This window comes from Homo sapiens, chromosome 8 (genome assembly GCF_000001405.40).
Source record: "Homo sapiens chromosome 8, GRCh38.p14 Primary Assembly".
NCBI lineage: Eukaryota > Metazoa > Chordata > Mammalia > Primates > Hominidae > Homo > Homo sapiens.
The window spans coordinates 97,947,569-97,961,718 of record NC_000008.11 but is presented as its reverse complement, the minus strand read 5'-3'; the positions used below and the strand labels follow the sequence as shown (position 1 = coordinate 97,961,718).

The window sequence follows — 14,150 nt, the reverse complement described above, 5'->3', positions numbered from 1 at the left end:
CTGACCTCAGCCATAAATGAAGCCTTTAAAGTTCAAATTCTGCCTAACAACTACACCAAACAACTGAGCACTTTGTGGAAACCCAAAGGTGAGGAAACAAATATGTGGGAGGTACACGTGAGTCTCCCCTCCTCCTCACCATGCTTAACTTGTCCTTCCCTACCAAGCCCAGCTGGAGGGATACTCACCCACACACCTCTTCCCATCCTCAGCCAGGGCGTAGCCACTGTAGCACTGGCAGACGAAGGAGCCCGGCACATTCACACAGAGCTGCTCACAGTTGTGGTCCTCCATGGCACACAGATCCTGGACTGAGGCAAAGTCACGATGTTAGAACACAACGTCAGGCACACCTGAGAATGCTCCCAGCCCAGGGTGAGGCAACAGGGAACTCCAGAGCCCTCACCAAAGTAACTTTTAAAAACATTGTAAGGTTTGATACGTGATCATAGTAGAAAATTTGGAAAACATAAAAAAATAGATAAAAGAAAATTCACCTGTAATCCCCCCATCTGTAATCCTACTACCCAGAGGCAACCACTGTTAACATTTTGGTGAGTTTTCTTTCCAGGTGAGTTTCTGCATGTATATAAAAACACATTTTTCAGCCATGCGGTGGCTCACGCCTGTAATTCCAGCACTATGGGAGGCCGAGGTGGGCGGATCACTTGAGGTCAGGAGTTGGAGACCAGCCTGGCCAACATGGTGAAACCTCATCTCTACTAAAAATATAAAAATTAGCTGAGTGTGGTGGTGTGTGCTTGTAATCCCAGCTACTCAGGAGGCCGAGGCAGGAGAATCGCTTGAACTCAGGAGGCGGAGGTTGCAGTGAGCCAAGATCGTGCCATTGCACTCCAGCCTGGACGACAGAGCGAGTCTCTGTCTCAAAATAAATAAATAACATAAAAAAAACACATTTTTCAAAGTTGGAATTACTTTGAAATACATTAAATAATTTTTTTGAGACAGAATCTCACTCTGTTGCTGGTATAAGAAGGAATGAGACAAAGCTCTTTGAAAACCCTCTTTGTGCTCTATGTATTCATTCTAATAACAAACGAGGAAAATGGAGAAGCCAAAAGAGGTTAGGTAGAGGTAACAAACATTGCCAGGGAGAAATAGATACATGTCTATTCGTGGTCTTATTTTGGTCAAATATTTATTACATGTCCACTAAGTGCTAAGCTCTGCCTGTTTATTCACATGCAACGTAGGAATGGAATTGCAGTATGCATCTACTGCAACAGAACTAAGAATATGTTGGTGGATGAAAAGATTAAAGGCATCTTCCATCCATCACTGACTCAGTCTCTAACACTATTTCCCAGCAAGGAGAACAGCTTGGATACCATGAAACAGCTAGCTGTACCATTGATTTTGCCATTAAAACTGGAGATAATCAGAGAGCATTAAAGGGGTTGAATATATTAAAGAGAATTTTCTCTGGTTAAAAGCTATCACTGGCCGGGCGTGGTAGCTCACACCTGTAATCCCAACACTTTGGGAGGCCAAGGCGGGAGGATCATCTGAGGTCAGAAGTTCGAGATCAGCCTGACCAACATGGTGAAACCCCGTCTCTACTAAAAATACAAAAATTAGCTTGGCGTGGTGGCACGCGCCTGTAATCCCAGCTACTCAGAAGATGGGAGGCTGAGGCAGGAGAATGGCTTGAACCCGGGAGGTGGAGGTTGCAGTGAGCCGAGATCACACCATTGCACTCCAGCCTGGGCGACAGAACAAGACTGTCTCAAACAAAAAAAAGCTATCACTACAACAGGTATGATTTAAAAAAACTTAATTACCTAGAAAGCTTGATTAATTCCTGAATCCAATGGCTACATTTTCATATCATCTTCTAGATCTTTGAGTTTCATAGTTTATTATGCTTTTACATAAATATAAAATATCCAAATTGATTTTTAAAAAGATAAAAGCTGATTTGATTCAACATCTCTATTAAATGCATTAAACAATTTTAAACATTAAAACTTACATCATCACATTTTAAAAACGCTTAGGTCTAAGAGTCTACAAATAAGAATTCTGGTTTTAAACTCCTAAAAGAAGTTTCACTCCCAAATCAATAAAGTAGATGGAAAAAAAAGCCTTATAGACACAGATTCTTTTACCTCTCACCAGTAAGTTTATATCTCACATTTCCAATTGAGAACTCCAACCAGAAAGTCCAATGTAGATTTTCAGTGGATTCAGATGTAAGGAAAACACCCATAACCGGAAGAAAACTTCAGCTAATACAAAAATCGTAGTGAGTAATCAAAGAAATACAAAACCTAAATGAGCTAGGCCAGATATAAGAAATGTCTGAATCATACGATATTCATTCATTTAGTCAATAAATACGGTTTGAGCGCATACTATGTCCCAAGCATTGGGGATATCATGGTGAACAAAACAGACAAGGGGTTTCTGCTGTCACGCAGCTTGTATCCTACTAGGAGTTAATAACATGAACCTTTAGGAAGAGTATTTTCGGCCAAAAGAACAGTGAATGCAAAGGTCCTGAAGAACAAACTGATCCTATTTGAGGAACAGAAAGGCCAGAGTGGTTGTTAGATGCCACCTAAATAACTAACATGCGAGGTAGGACATGATAAGAATCCCTAAGAGAAGTGCCAAGAAAACTATGGGAGTTCAGAATTGGGACAGATTACTGCAAGTCTAGCAAGGACTGGGAAAGGCTGGCAGGTATGGAGAAAGAGAAACAGCACTCCAGGCTTGGGACGCGTGAGTAAACAGAAGAGGGAAGCAGGAGAGGCGTGGCAGCTGAATTCTGCTCTGGAAATTCCAGGGGAAGTAGCAGAAGAGAGGATGGGAAAGACCATTGACACCAGAGGCAGAGGGATCTCTGCACACAGGCTGCATAGGCTGAACTCCAATCAGCGGGCAATGGGGACCACTCAAGGGAAAAACTTTAAAAAGGGAGACCAGCAATTTCACCCAAGTTGTGCTTCGGAAGGATAAGTCTGGCAGCACCACAGATCCTCTCAGGCCTGGGAAAATTTAAGCACCTCTAGCAAAGTTCAATGAAAAGCATTGCTTTCTTGGGAACAGCAGTAGGTTTCTGAGTTCCGGGCTGAAGTAGCTTTGGGTTGCCTGAATGGTGATGAGAAAATTAACCTCTTGCTATGAGGACCTTTAAACATTCTTTACACTTTTGGCCTCACCCATCGGCTGTCAGCCCACCCCTGCACTTTTCCCTCCTGGCATGAATCATAATGTTAACTACGTATGTGTTTATAGAGCGATGGATGTACTGTGTCTCTCTTACTAGACTCTAAGCTCCCTAAGTGGGTGGGCAGTGTCCCTGCATGAAGTCCTGATGGCTGGGAGGTGACGCTCCAGCATGCTGGAACCAGCTCTGGAAGGGTGGCAGCAGCTTCTCCACATGGGTCCTCCCAATCTCTACTGCAGATGCTGCCTTGCCCCATCAGGGGTCTGGCAGGAACCCTACCTACCATGGTTACCAAGTAGTGGTGTGAATACAGGTGATTTTTCATTCTTTTATTTATAATTGTCTGATTTCAAATTTTCTAACAGGAACTTTTATAATAATGGAGGAAGACAAAAAAATCAACCTGTTACAAAAGAACCCTTTTGAAAGTACCATTTCAAAAGCAAGGAACCAGGACCTTGAAGGAACAATCTTTTTTTCTAAAAGGCTTCCCTGCACAGGGTAGGTAGAGAAAGGCAAGGATATGCTTGTTCCTTTCAGGACAGACTGGGATATCCGCAGAAGAGTCTGTGAGTAACTGCAAGCTCCCATCTACAGAAGCAGCAGCGACCTTTGAAAATCTTGATGCCAAGGTACTCCCCACCACAATTAAATCAGACTGGCAGGGGGTGGGATTTGGGCAGTGGTGTTTGTCAAAGCTCCCAGGTAGCCCCAGTGTGCAGCCAGGCTGAATGTCATTGAACCTAACAGATAAAAAGTCCCCACAATCCTCCCTGGGGAAGGTGCCCAGATCCAGGAGTCAGTCTCCCCCTTTAATGATGAGACCCTACGGTTCAGCTTTCCTCTTCTAAACAAATCTGAGTGATTGTTGTCCTTGCTCCCCTCTCCAAGAGGCTAAAAGAACCCCAAACACCTATGTGCGGGTGCAAGATTACTGCTCGCATCCCAGAACTGTCCCACAAACAGCAAGCTTGCCAGTTGGCTTCATGCGGATTGTCCTTTCTTACTGTTTTTAGAATTGTTGGGGATTTATGGCCACGAGCGATTTGTACCGACCCAAGGGAAACCATTCAGGGATTAATCTAATTAAACAAAGACAAAGGAATAAATACAGACTGGGTTCTGACAAAACAACTTTGCTGTTTTTCTGGCAGTGGCCATTTCCTTTTGAAACAAATACAGATGTTTTTTGGATGATTCCTTATGCTTTTGAAAAACAGCCCTTCTTTCTCTCTGAGGCCAGGAGGATTTCACTGAAGGATAAGAAGCACTGTGTCCAGAGCTCCCCCTGCCCCGGCACAGCCTTCCACCTTCTCCACCTGGTGACCCCCATGAATGGCTCACAACCCCAGTCAAATGTCACCTCCTGTGGGAAGCCTCCTTCAAGTTGGCTGGAGTTAAGGCTTCTTCCCCTGGGCCCCCACAGCACTATAGACATGGCTCCGCTCTAGCATTTCGGCACTGATCCCATGGTATTGGAAGGACTTGATCACGGCTATCTGCCCCATTATAAGAGGGTCAGTTTTGACTCTCCAGAGTCTAGCACAGTGTCCTAGCACATGTATTTGGTCTCCATAAGAGTTCATTTGCTGAATGAACAATGAAAAAGGCCCAGATGCCCTGCCTCCCAGGAGGAATGGCCCTAAAGTCCTAAGAATACCCTCCTCCATTAGATGTGGGGTCCTCAGAAGATGACTGAGATGGGAACAAAATTCTCTCCAAGTCTCTCTGCCTCTCCTCATCCTCAGCAAGAGGTATTCACACACCAGAAGAGGGCTCAGAGTGAGGTAGGAGGCAGGACTCAACTCCAGAGGCAGAGCTTAACTCCAGAGGCAGGGCTTGGACACAGGATCAAATTGAGGGCTGGGGCAGAAGCAGCTTTCCATAAGACACACCCACCAGTGTGACATGTCAGTTTACCATTGCCATGGCAACACCTGGGAGTAACCACCTCCTCCGTGTCAATGACCTGACAAACCAAGAGCTACTATCCCTTCCCTAGAAATTCCTGCATAAACTGCCTCTTAATCTGCATGCAGTTAAAAGTGGGTATAGGCCACTGGGATCACACCCATAATCCCAGCATTTTCGGAGACCGAGGCAGGTGGATCATGTGAGGTCAAGAGTTCAAGAGCAGCCTGGCCAACATGGTGAAACCCCATCTCTATTAAAAATACAAAATTAGCCAGATGTGGTGGCAGGTGCCTGTAATCCCAGTTACTTGGGAGGCTGAGGCAGGAGAATCACTTGAACCTAGGAGGCAGATGTTGCAGTGAGCTGAGATCGCGCCACTGCACTCCAGCCTGGGAAACTCCATCTCAAAAAAAAAAAAGTGGGTATAAATATGACTGTAAAACTGCCCTGAGCTACTACCTACTCTCTGCCTATAAGGATAGCCCTGCTCTGCAGGAGCAGTCACGGAGGCGTAACACTGCCAGGGCTGTAACACCGTCTCTTCAATAAAGCTGTTTACATCTACCTCTGCTTGCCCTTGAATTCTCTCCTGGATAAAGCCAAGAACCCTCATGGGCTAAGCCCCACTTTGGGGCTCACTTGTCCTGCATCAAGAACACAATGACATCTCAGAGCCAGCCCCCAGCTATGGACACCAGAAAAGCTGTCATGACAGTTAGGGAACCTGTGTGCCCTGCTATCCACTGCATCCCGGTATCTAGCACAGTGCCTGGCACTTTGTCCTTGCTCAACAAGTACTTGTTGAATGGATGAATGAACTCATGCTCATGTGACACAAGCACAGGGTTGTCAGGTGTTCCTAACTCATCTCTCTTACCTACTCTTGTAAGCTCTGTGAAGGACAGAGCCATGTCTCTAAGTCTTGGTGTTCCTTACGGTGCCTGTATAATGCCATGCACTTCACACAGTTGGTGCTTAGTAGCCATCTATTGTTGACTTGACAGCCTCCCTTGCTGGGCAGCCTAGAGCTCTGTCTCAATTAATAAATGTCACTGGGCAGAAATGGGACAGCTGGGGATGATTCTGAAGTATTCTTTAATTTCTCTTTAGCAAAGATGAATTTTTAGAATAGCTAACTTTTACCCTGGGGTCGAAGATGGGAACAGAAACTTGAAAGTCATGGGATTCCTCCCTCTCCTGTACCCCTCAGACCCAGTCAATCCTGGATTTACTTCTCTTCATCTCCCCTGCCACCATGGAGCCACTATCATCTGTTGGCTGAACAGCCGTGGCAACCTCTTAACTGGTTTTCCTGTATTCATCCCAGCCTAGCATCCTCCTGTAGCCAGAGTAATCTGCTCCTGCCTCTCTTCTGCTTAAAACCCTTAATGGCTTATCACTGCTTTAGGATGGAGTCCAAAAACTCTAATGTGATGGTCAAGGGGGCTACAAGACCCACCCCTTCACCTCTCCAGTCTTATCTCAAGCCTCCTCTTATTTTCTCTGCTCCATTTACATGGCCCTCTCCATTTTCAAATCAAGCTTCTTCATGTCTTGGGACCTTTGCAAAGGTCATTCCTTCTGCCTAGAATGCTCAAGCCTCTTCCTGACCTCCTTTTCCCCTACCTAACTCTCATACCTCCTTTAGTACTCACCTGAAAGTCTGCTTTCTCAGGAAGCTCTGACCTGCCACTAGGGGTGAAGTCCTCCCTCAGAGTTTCCATTTGTAATCCTCAACACAATTATAATTTAATGCTTAATTTGCAACTAATTATTTCATGTCTATTTCACCTGCCACATAGGGCAGCCACAGTGCTTGTCTTGCTCAGCATGCTAGTTCAAATATCTAGCATCTGCCATGTGGCTGATTTGTGGATGACTGAATTAATAAATCTATTCAACGATGGAACGGTTCGGAGTGCTGGGAAAACAACAGTGAATCAGTGGACAACAACAGAAAAATTCCTACCCTTATAGAGCTGATGGTCCAGTGAGGGGCCAGTCATGTGCTAGAGGCAGCTCGTACTGACTCACACAATGATGTGCATCTCTTCCCACAGCTGCATTCAAAGAGGCCACGTTGGTAGCTTGAAATGTCCACGGTGGGAGTATTTACACCATGGAAATTGGCAAATCTACAAATCAGAGCTTTTGTCTCCTGGAGACCTGATTGTTAAACATTTAGCAGCACATACCTGATAGAAGATTGATAGTAAACAAAGCAAATAGGTAAAAATCTGTGATACGTTATAAGCAGGAAAGGGGAGTTGAGCGTGGTGAGAGAGCAGGCTTCCATTTTTAACAGTGTGAACTGAAAAGATGATTTTGACCTTCTCCAAATTTTTATTTGGACCTGAAAGAGGTGACATGAAAAATGATGAAGAGAGCCACCACTGGGGGAGGGCAGGATGTCAGTTACGTCTCCTCAGAAAGGGTAGGGGTGAGGCAGGCAGGTGAAAAGAATATCGACTTTGGAGCCAGACTTGGCCCCAGCTGGGTAACGACTTCAAGTAAGGGACTTTTGAGAGATTCAGTTTTCATAAAAAGGTTAAATATCTTATTTGTAGGGTTGAGTGAGATAATCTAGATGGGCAAAGCATCTGTCTCACAGAAGATATTTTTATTTTATTTTTTTATTTTTAATTTTTTTGAGACAAGGTCTGGCTCTGTCACCCAGGCTAGAGTGCAATGGCACAATCTAGGCTCACTGCAACCTCTGCTTCCCGAGCTCAAGCAATCCTTCCACCTCAGCCTCCCGAGTAGCTGGGACTAAAGGTACGCACCACCATACCCAGCTAACTTTTTTTTTTTTTTTTTTGGTGAGATGGAGATTTACTCTTGTTGCCCAGGCTGGAGTGCAATGGCGCTATCTTGGCTCACCGCATTCTCCGCCTCCTAGGTTCAAGCGATTCTCATGCCTCAGTACTCATGCTGAGTAGCTGGGATTACAGGCATGTGCCACCATGCCCGCCTAATTTTGTATTTTAAGTAGAGACAGGGTTTCACCGTGTTGCCCAGGCTGATCTCGAACTCCTGACCTCAGGTGATCTGCCCGCCTTGGCCTCCCAAAGTGCTGGGATTACAGGCGTGAGCCACCACGCTCAGCAAAATACCAGCTAACTTTTGTATTATTTGTAGAGACAGGGTTTCACCGTGTTGGACAGGCTGGTCTTGAACTCATGAGCTCAAGCGATCTACCCGCCCTGGCCTCCCGAAGTGCAGGGCTGACAGTAAGTATTCAACAAATGTTAGCATCCTTCTCCTTTCCTAAATCAAGGGGGAAAAGAAAAGTGTCAGTGGCACATACCTATTTAAGCATGGCAGAGAGTTGAACTTCAACCAAATTTTGCTCACATCCCAATTCTAATAGTTTCACTTTATTGGGTACCTATAAAAGCTGCAAACATGGGCCGGCACGATGGGTCACACCTATAATCCCAGCACTTTGGGAGGCCAACGCAGGAGGATCAAGACCAGCCTGGGCAACAGAACGACATCTTGTCTCTACAGAAAATTAAAAAATTAGCCAGGCACAGTGGCACACACCTGTAGTCCCAGCTACTAGGGAGGCTGAGGTAGGAAGATCATTTCAGCCAGGGAGTTCCAGGTCGCAGTAAGCTATGATTGCGCCACTGCACTCCAGCCTGGGAGACAGAGCGAGATCCTGTCTCAAAAAAAAAAAAAAAAAAAAAAAATCCCTACAAACATGAATATTAGATCCTAACGTTCTAAAATTTATCTCTGGCCAAGTTTGGTTTTTGAGTTCTATGCTAAATTGAAGTGATACAGCAAAGTAGGTAATTTGGAATTTCATAACAAAAAGACCTGGCCAAATTTGAGATACACCTTGCCAGGGAGCTACCATTAGCATGTATCTGACAGTCAGCAAAATCTGCTCGCTTGTTTCAGTGCCTGGAGAATTTTAAGAGGGATAACTCAGTCTTCCCAGGTGAAACTAATTAGTGAAGATTTGCTGCCAAGAGCCCCAAAGCTGTGCTCAAACCCAACCAGTTTCCCCAGAGACTCCCATGCACCCTAGATGTAAGTGCCTTCCTTTAGAAACCCTGGCGCCTGCATCTCAGTCCAGAGAACTTGGAAACTTTCATCTGCTTACACCGGAAGGAGGCAGAACTGAGGGGGGAGCACGGAGCATGGGGCAAAGGCTATGGCCATCATCCAGGGCTAAATCAAAGGGTTTCACCAACGTTTCAGAATTTTAGACAAGCTGCACTGCACGCTGTTGACACCAATGACAGTTTAATCTCATCTTTGGAGTTAAAGCAAATGAACACCTTTAGGAGACACCCTCTACTTTTTATAGCTCTTGCTGTTATTTAATCTGAGATGTAGAAATCAGAAATTGTTTATCACAGCAAGAGAGAAGGAGAAGTGGGTTATTAGGGCTGCCATTTCACTCAACTGGGTAAACGATGGGGTCTCTGCCCACTCCCACAGGAAAGCTTGCTATGAGTTAGGGCTCCACAAATGCAGGCAAAACCCAAGCTTGCCTTTTCGAGACCATGCCCTCTCTTTCATCATGTCTGAAAGCACTAATCTTATTTTGACAACTGCAGTTTGGATTTGAAGTCTTCCAATGGTAAATGAGTCATCAGCCTCGTGCTTCTACACTGAAAGAAACAAAACAAACCCAATGTCACTGAGAAAATTATCCTTTCAGGCAAACTCCAGCTGTGCCTAGTCTCCTCCTTTCCCGCAGCAGTTGAATTTTTTTTCAATCAATTCTCCTGTTCACTAACAAGATTTTGGTTTTCCTCGGGGAAGGGAAAAGGAGGAAGGGGGGAATCTCTGAAACAAGTTCTAAAATACAGTGAAATCTGAGTGAATGAGGTTGACAAAAATAATAAATAAACAAACAAAAATAATGTCCTACTCCTGTAGAGTGCTTTTCAATTTCCAAACCGTTGTCACATTATGTTCTTAATATAAACCCCCTTTTGAGTGGATGCTGCCAGGGAGAGATCTTATTTAAAACATCTAAGTCAGTAGTCCTTAAACTGCAGCGTACATCGACATCCCCTGGAGGGCTTGGGAAAACCCACATTCCTGGGCCCCAGTTCCAGAGGTCCTGATTCAGTGGGTCTAGGGTAAGCCTGGGAACCTGCATTTCTAGTAAGTTCCGGGCAAAGCTGATATTGTTTTCCGGGGGGACCACACTTTGAGAACCACTTGCCTGGGTCCTCATAAAAACAGCCAAGCGGAGGAAAAGCTGTGCAAGGTTCAAGCTCATGTTCCCCTGATATGTACATTTTTTTCATAATTGGCATTTCTCCACTCACATTTAGTCAGCTCAGTTCTCCCATGGGGCTCTACTCACCCCAGATTCCTTCTTTTGTAGAAAATCCTGTGCCCTGGCACAGCCAGAGGGTGAGCAGACTGCACAAAATGATCCCTAAGCTCCCAGACCCAGGCCTGACAGCCAGGGTCAAGGGGAAGCTGGATGACGGCATTTAGCAAGCCCACTGCTTCGGCTCACAGCAGCTCAGCCACAGCTCAGGTGGCTGCCATTGATTGTCAGTGAAGGCAGCTGCTTTGCGTGTGTGTGCGTGCGGCCTGCTCGCCCTTCTAGCTTTGACCCACCCTCTGACTGTGGGCTGCCCCAGAGCTCACAACCTGACCTTCACTTTCCACACTCGCTTTCTCCCTCCAAGATTCCATCTATTTTCAGGGTCAACGACCACCACCAAACACATACTGCCCAGGCCTTTTCCTTGAACTGGAATTCTCCATCTCCAGCTGCATCCAACCACGTGTGTGGGCTCTCTCTTGGACGCATCTGTTTGCCCTGAAAACTAGATTTCCTCTCTGCAGTTATCCATCAGTCTTAATTACTCTGAACCCACCAGCCATCACCTATCTGATGTCATAAACTCCTCCCTGGGGCTGGGATGGTTGCCGTGGTCTCCTACTTAATTCTGCGGGCGTAAGAAACATACACTGAATTGACTGGACTGATTAGAATTGTTCTCTGATTCCATCTTTTATATTCTGCTCTCTGTGTGGGGGGTAAAAGGGAAGCCAAGATCTGAATGTTTCTTGGGTCCCTAATATGTAAGAAAAATACCCCATAAGAGTATCAGGCCCATAGAGGGGAATCCACAGGTATTGAATGAATGAGCGGATGAGTGAAGGCATCCCTGCCCCACTCTCTACCTCTAATACAGCACATACATTATTGCCAGCCCCAATTTACTAAAATGACCTGGTTTTGCCCTTGACACCCTGTGTTCAATTCCCCTACTCAACAAAGGACACTGTTGGAACTTAGCTTGAGAATCAAATTGCTCCATACTTTATCCCTGCTTACATTCCTTCTCTCATCCTCCACTGATGCCACAAACAAACTATTCCAGAAAGGCAGTCTGGTCCAGCGCCACTACTTACTTCCGAAACCTTGTTCTGATTAATGAATGTCAGCTTTATTGAGTGACAACTGGCATACAATAAACTGTACATACTTCAAGTGTACAGTTTGATAAATCGGGCTTATCAATATATCATCACCACAATCAAGATAATGAGCATAGTCATCACCCCCCCAAGTTTCCTGATGCTGCTTTGTAATCCCTCTCCCTGCTGCTCCCCACTCCTTGGCCCCAAGCACCCACTAATCTGCTCTCTGTCATTACTGAGTAGGCACCATTTCCAAAAATTTTATACAAATGGAACCACATGGTATGTTCTGGTTTTTTTGGGTCTGGTTTCTTTCATTCAGCATAGTGATTTGGAGATGCATCCAGGCTACTGCATGTTTCAATAGTGCATTCTTTTCACTGCAGAGGAGTATTATACAGGATGCGTGTATTGCAGTGTATCACCCATTCATCTGTTAATCAACATGTGAGTTGTTTTCAGTTTGGGGCTATTACAAGTAAAGCTGATGTGAACATTTGTGTTCAAATCTTTTTTTAGACATAAACTTTTATTTCTTTTGAGTAAATACTTAAAAGTGGAATGGCTGGGTCACATGATAGGTAAATATCTAACTTTGTAAGAAACCGCTAAGCTGTTTTCCAGAGTGGCTGAACCATTTTACATGACCACTGGTGATGTATGAGCATTCCAGTTCCCAATTTTGCGAACACATGGTATAGTCAATCTTTTAAAATTTATCCACTCTGGTCAGGCACAGTGGCTCAAGACTGTAATCCCAGCACTTTGGGAGGCTGAGGTGGACAGATGATCTGAGTTCAGAAGTTCAAGACCAGCCTGGCCAACATGGTGAAACCCCATCTCTACTAGTAAATACAAAAAAAAAATTAGCCAGGCTTGGTGGTGCGTGCCTGTAGATCCAGCTACTTGGAGGTTGAGGCAGGGGAATTGCTTGGCCCAGGAGGCAGAGGTTGCAGTGAGCTGAGATCACGCCACTGCACTCCAGCCTGGGCGACAGAGCAAGACTCTGTCTCAAAAAAAAAAAAAAAATCCATTCTAGTGGAGGTATAGTGATATCTCCTGTCTGATAACATTGAGCATCTCTTCATGTGCTTCTTCACTACCCATATGTCTTCCATGGTTTAGTGTCTGTTCAAATATTTTGCCCATTTTTATGGTGGTGTTTGTCTTCTTGGTACTGAATACTTGGTACTTGGTACTGAGCTAAGAATTCCTTATATTCTAAAGTCCTTTGTTGGACATATGTTTTGCAAATGTTTTATTCCAATCTGTGGCTTGCCCTTTCATTTTAGTAGCAGAGTACTGAAGAGCAAATGTTTTCATTGTGATTAAATATATTGATTTTTTTCTTTTATGTTTTGTAGCTTTTTGTGTACTATTTAAGAAATCTTTGCCAACCTGAGGTCATCAAGATTTTTCTTCTACCATTTCATCATGGTATTTAATAGTGTCTGCTCTTGCATTTAGGCTTAGAATACATTTTCAATTAATTTTTATACATGTTATGAGGTAAAGACAAGATCTATGTTCCTTTTGTTTGTTTGCTTGCTTTTTTGCACATGGCAGTTCAATTGCTGCAACACCATTTGTTGAAGACATTATTGTTTCCTCATTGGATTGCCTTCCCACTCCGTCAAAAAATCATTTCACCACATACATATGGGTTATTTCTCGATTCTGTTCTGTTCCATTGCTCTATATGTTCATCTTTATACCAATGCCACACTGTCTTGATTACTGTTGTTTTATACTTAGTCTTGAAATCAGGTAGTTTAAACAAAATTTAAAGATGAACTTTATCTTTTTCAAAGCTTTGTTTAATGTGCATGATTCACAGATTCCATATTTGTGAATCTGCCTACTTGCTAAAATTTGCTTGTAACCCCAAGTCAATACCCATGACACTTTCTCAGCCATTCATGGACATACACAGAGTGGCAAAAAATTTGAGTCACCCAGGACACATATTCCCAGGTAAGGTCAAACAAGGCAACGTTCTGTCTTCTTATTTCAGCTCTCATCCCATGAACAAGCATCCTTTCTGTGGTCTATGCAGTGCCACATTTTTTGCCTTTTTGTACTTCTTGTTGGAGATTTTGCTGTTGAAAATGGCCCCCAAGAGTAATGCTGATCTGCTGTCTATTGTTCCTAAGTACTTCATTCAAAATATGAACGATAGCTTTCAATGTTAATGAATTAACAGTATATACTCAAAAACGTGTGTTTAAACAGAACATCAAACAAGTTTATGTATTGATTGATGAATGTTGTGATTGGAAGCTCTCAGGAACCCAACTCTGTATTTCATCTAGGAGCAATGATTCAGAATTTGCAATTTAGTGTTTATGGATATTTTATGGATGATAACTACTGGGAATAATGAGAACTGACTGGGTTTGACTATTCTAGTTTTTTTGCATGTTCATGTATATTTTAAAATCAGTTGTCGATTTCTAAAAAAATAGGTCTGCTAGGATTTTGAAGGGGATTGCTTTGAATCTATGGATCAATTTGGAAAGAATTGACATCTTGGCCATATTAAGTCTTCCAATCCATGATAGGGTATATCTCTCCATTTATTTAGGTTTTTTTTAAATTAATCTCAGAAATCTTTTATATTTTTCAATGTGTA

At 43.9% G+C, this 14,150-nt stretch overlaps 1 protein-coding gene and 1 long non-coding RNA gene across 6 annotated transcripts in view, besides 2 other annotated features; both read right to left on the bottom strand.

The window, feature by feature from the left end:
* Nucleotides 1-14,150, bottom strand: part of MATN2 (matrilin 2) — a 167,661-nt gene that overhangs the window by 75,006 nt on the left and 78,505 nt on the right. For all 4 annotated transcript variants that reach the window (NM_002380.5, NM_030583.4, XM_005250920.3 and 1 more), the window contains exon 5: nucleotides 189-311. In NM_002380.5, coding sequence (NP_002371.3) covers nucleotides 189-311 — 123 coding nt within the window. The remainder of the gene's footprint in view (nucleotides 1-188; nucleotides 312-14,150) is intronic.
* On the bottom strand, nucleotides 9,417-12,012 carry LOC124901987 (uncharacterized). 2 transcript variants are annotated; one of them, XR_007061022.1, is made up of 2 exons: nucleotides 10,443-12,012; nucleotides 9,417-9,735 (listed from the first exon to the last, which is right to left on the bottom strand). It is a non-coding gene; the product is annotated as an uncharacterized LOC124901987 (long non-coding RNA). The 2 variants fall into 2 exon arrangements; XR_007061021.1 differs by having other exon boundaries at nucleotides 10,744-12,012.
* Nucleotides 10,084-10,634: an enhancer, noted in NCBI's record as "H3K4me1 hESC enhancer chr8:98963313-98963863 (GRCh37/hg19 assembly coordinates)". NCBI's record gives its function as "activates a minimal SCP1, AML or CMV promoter by ChIP-STARR-seq in primed H9 embryonic stem cells {active_cell/tissue: H9 hESC(primed)}" and the evidence as "EXISTENCE:reporter gene assay evidence [ECO:0000049][PMID:30033119]".
* Nucleotides 10,635-11,186: an enhancer, noted in NCBI's record as "H3K4me1 hESC enhancer chr8:98962761-98963312 (GRCh37/hg19 assembly coordinates)". NCBI's record gives its function as "activates a minimal SCP1, AML or CMV promoter by ChIP-STARR-seq in primed H9 embryonic stem cells {active_cell/tissue: H9 hESC(primed)}" and the evidence as "EXISTENCE:reporter gene assay evidence [ECO:0000049][PMID:30033119]".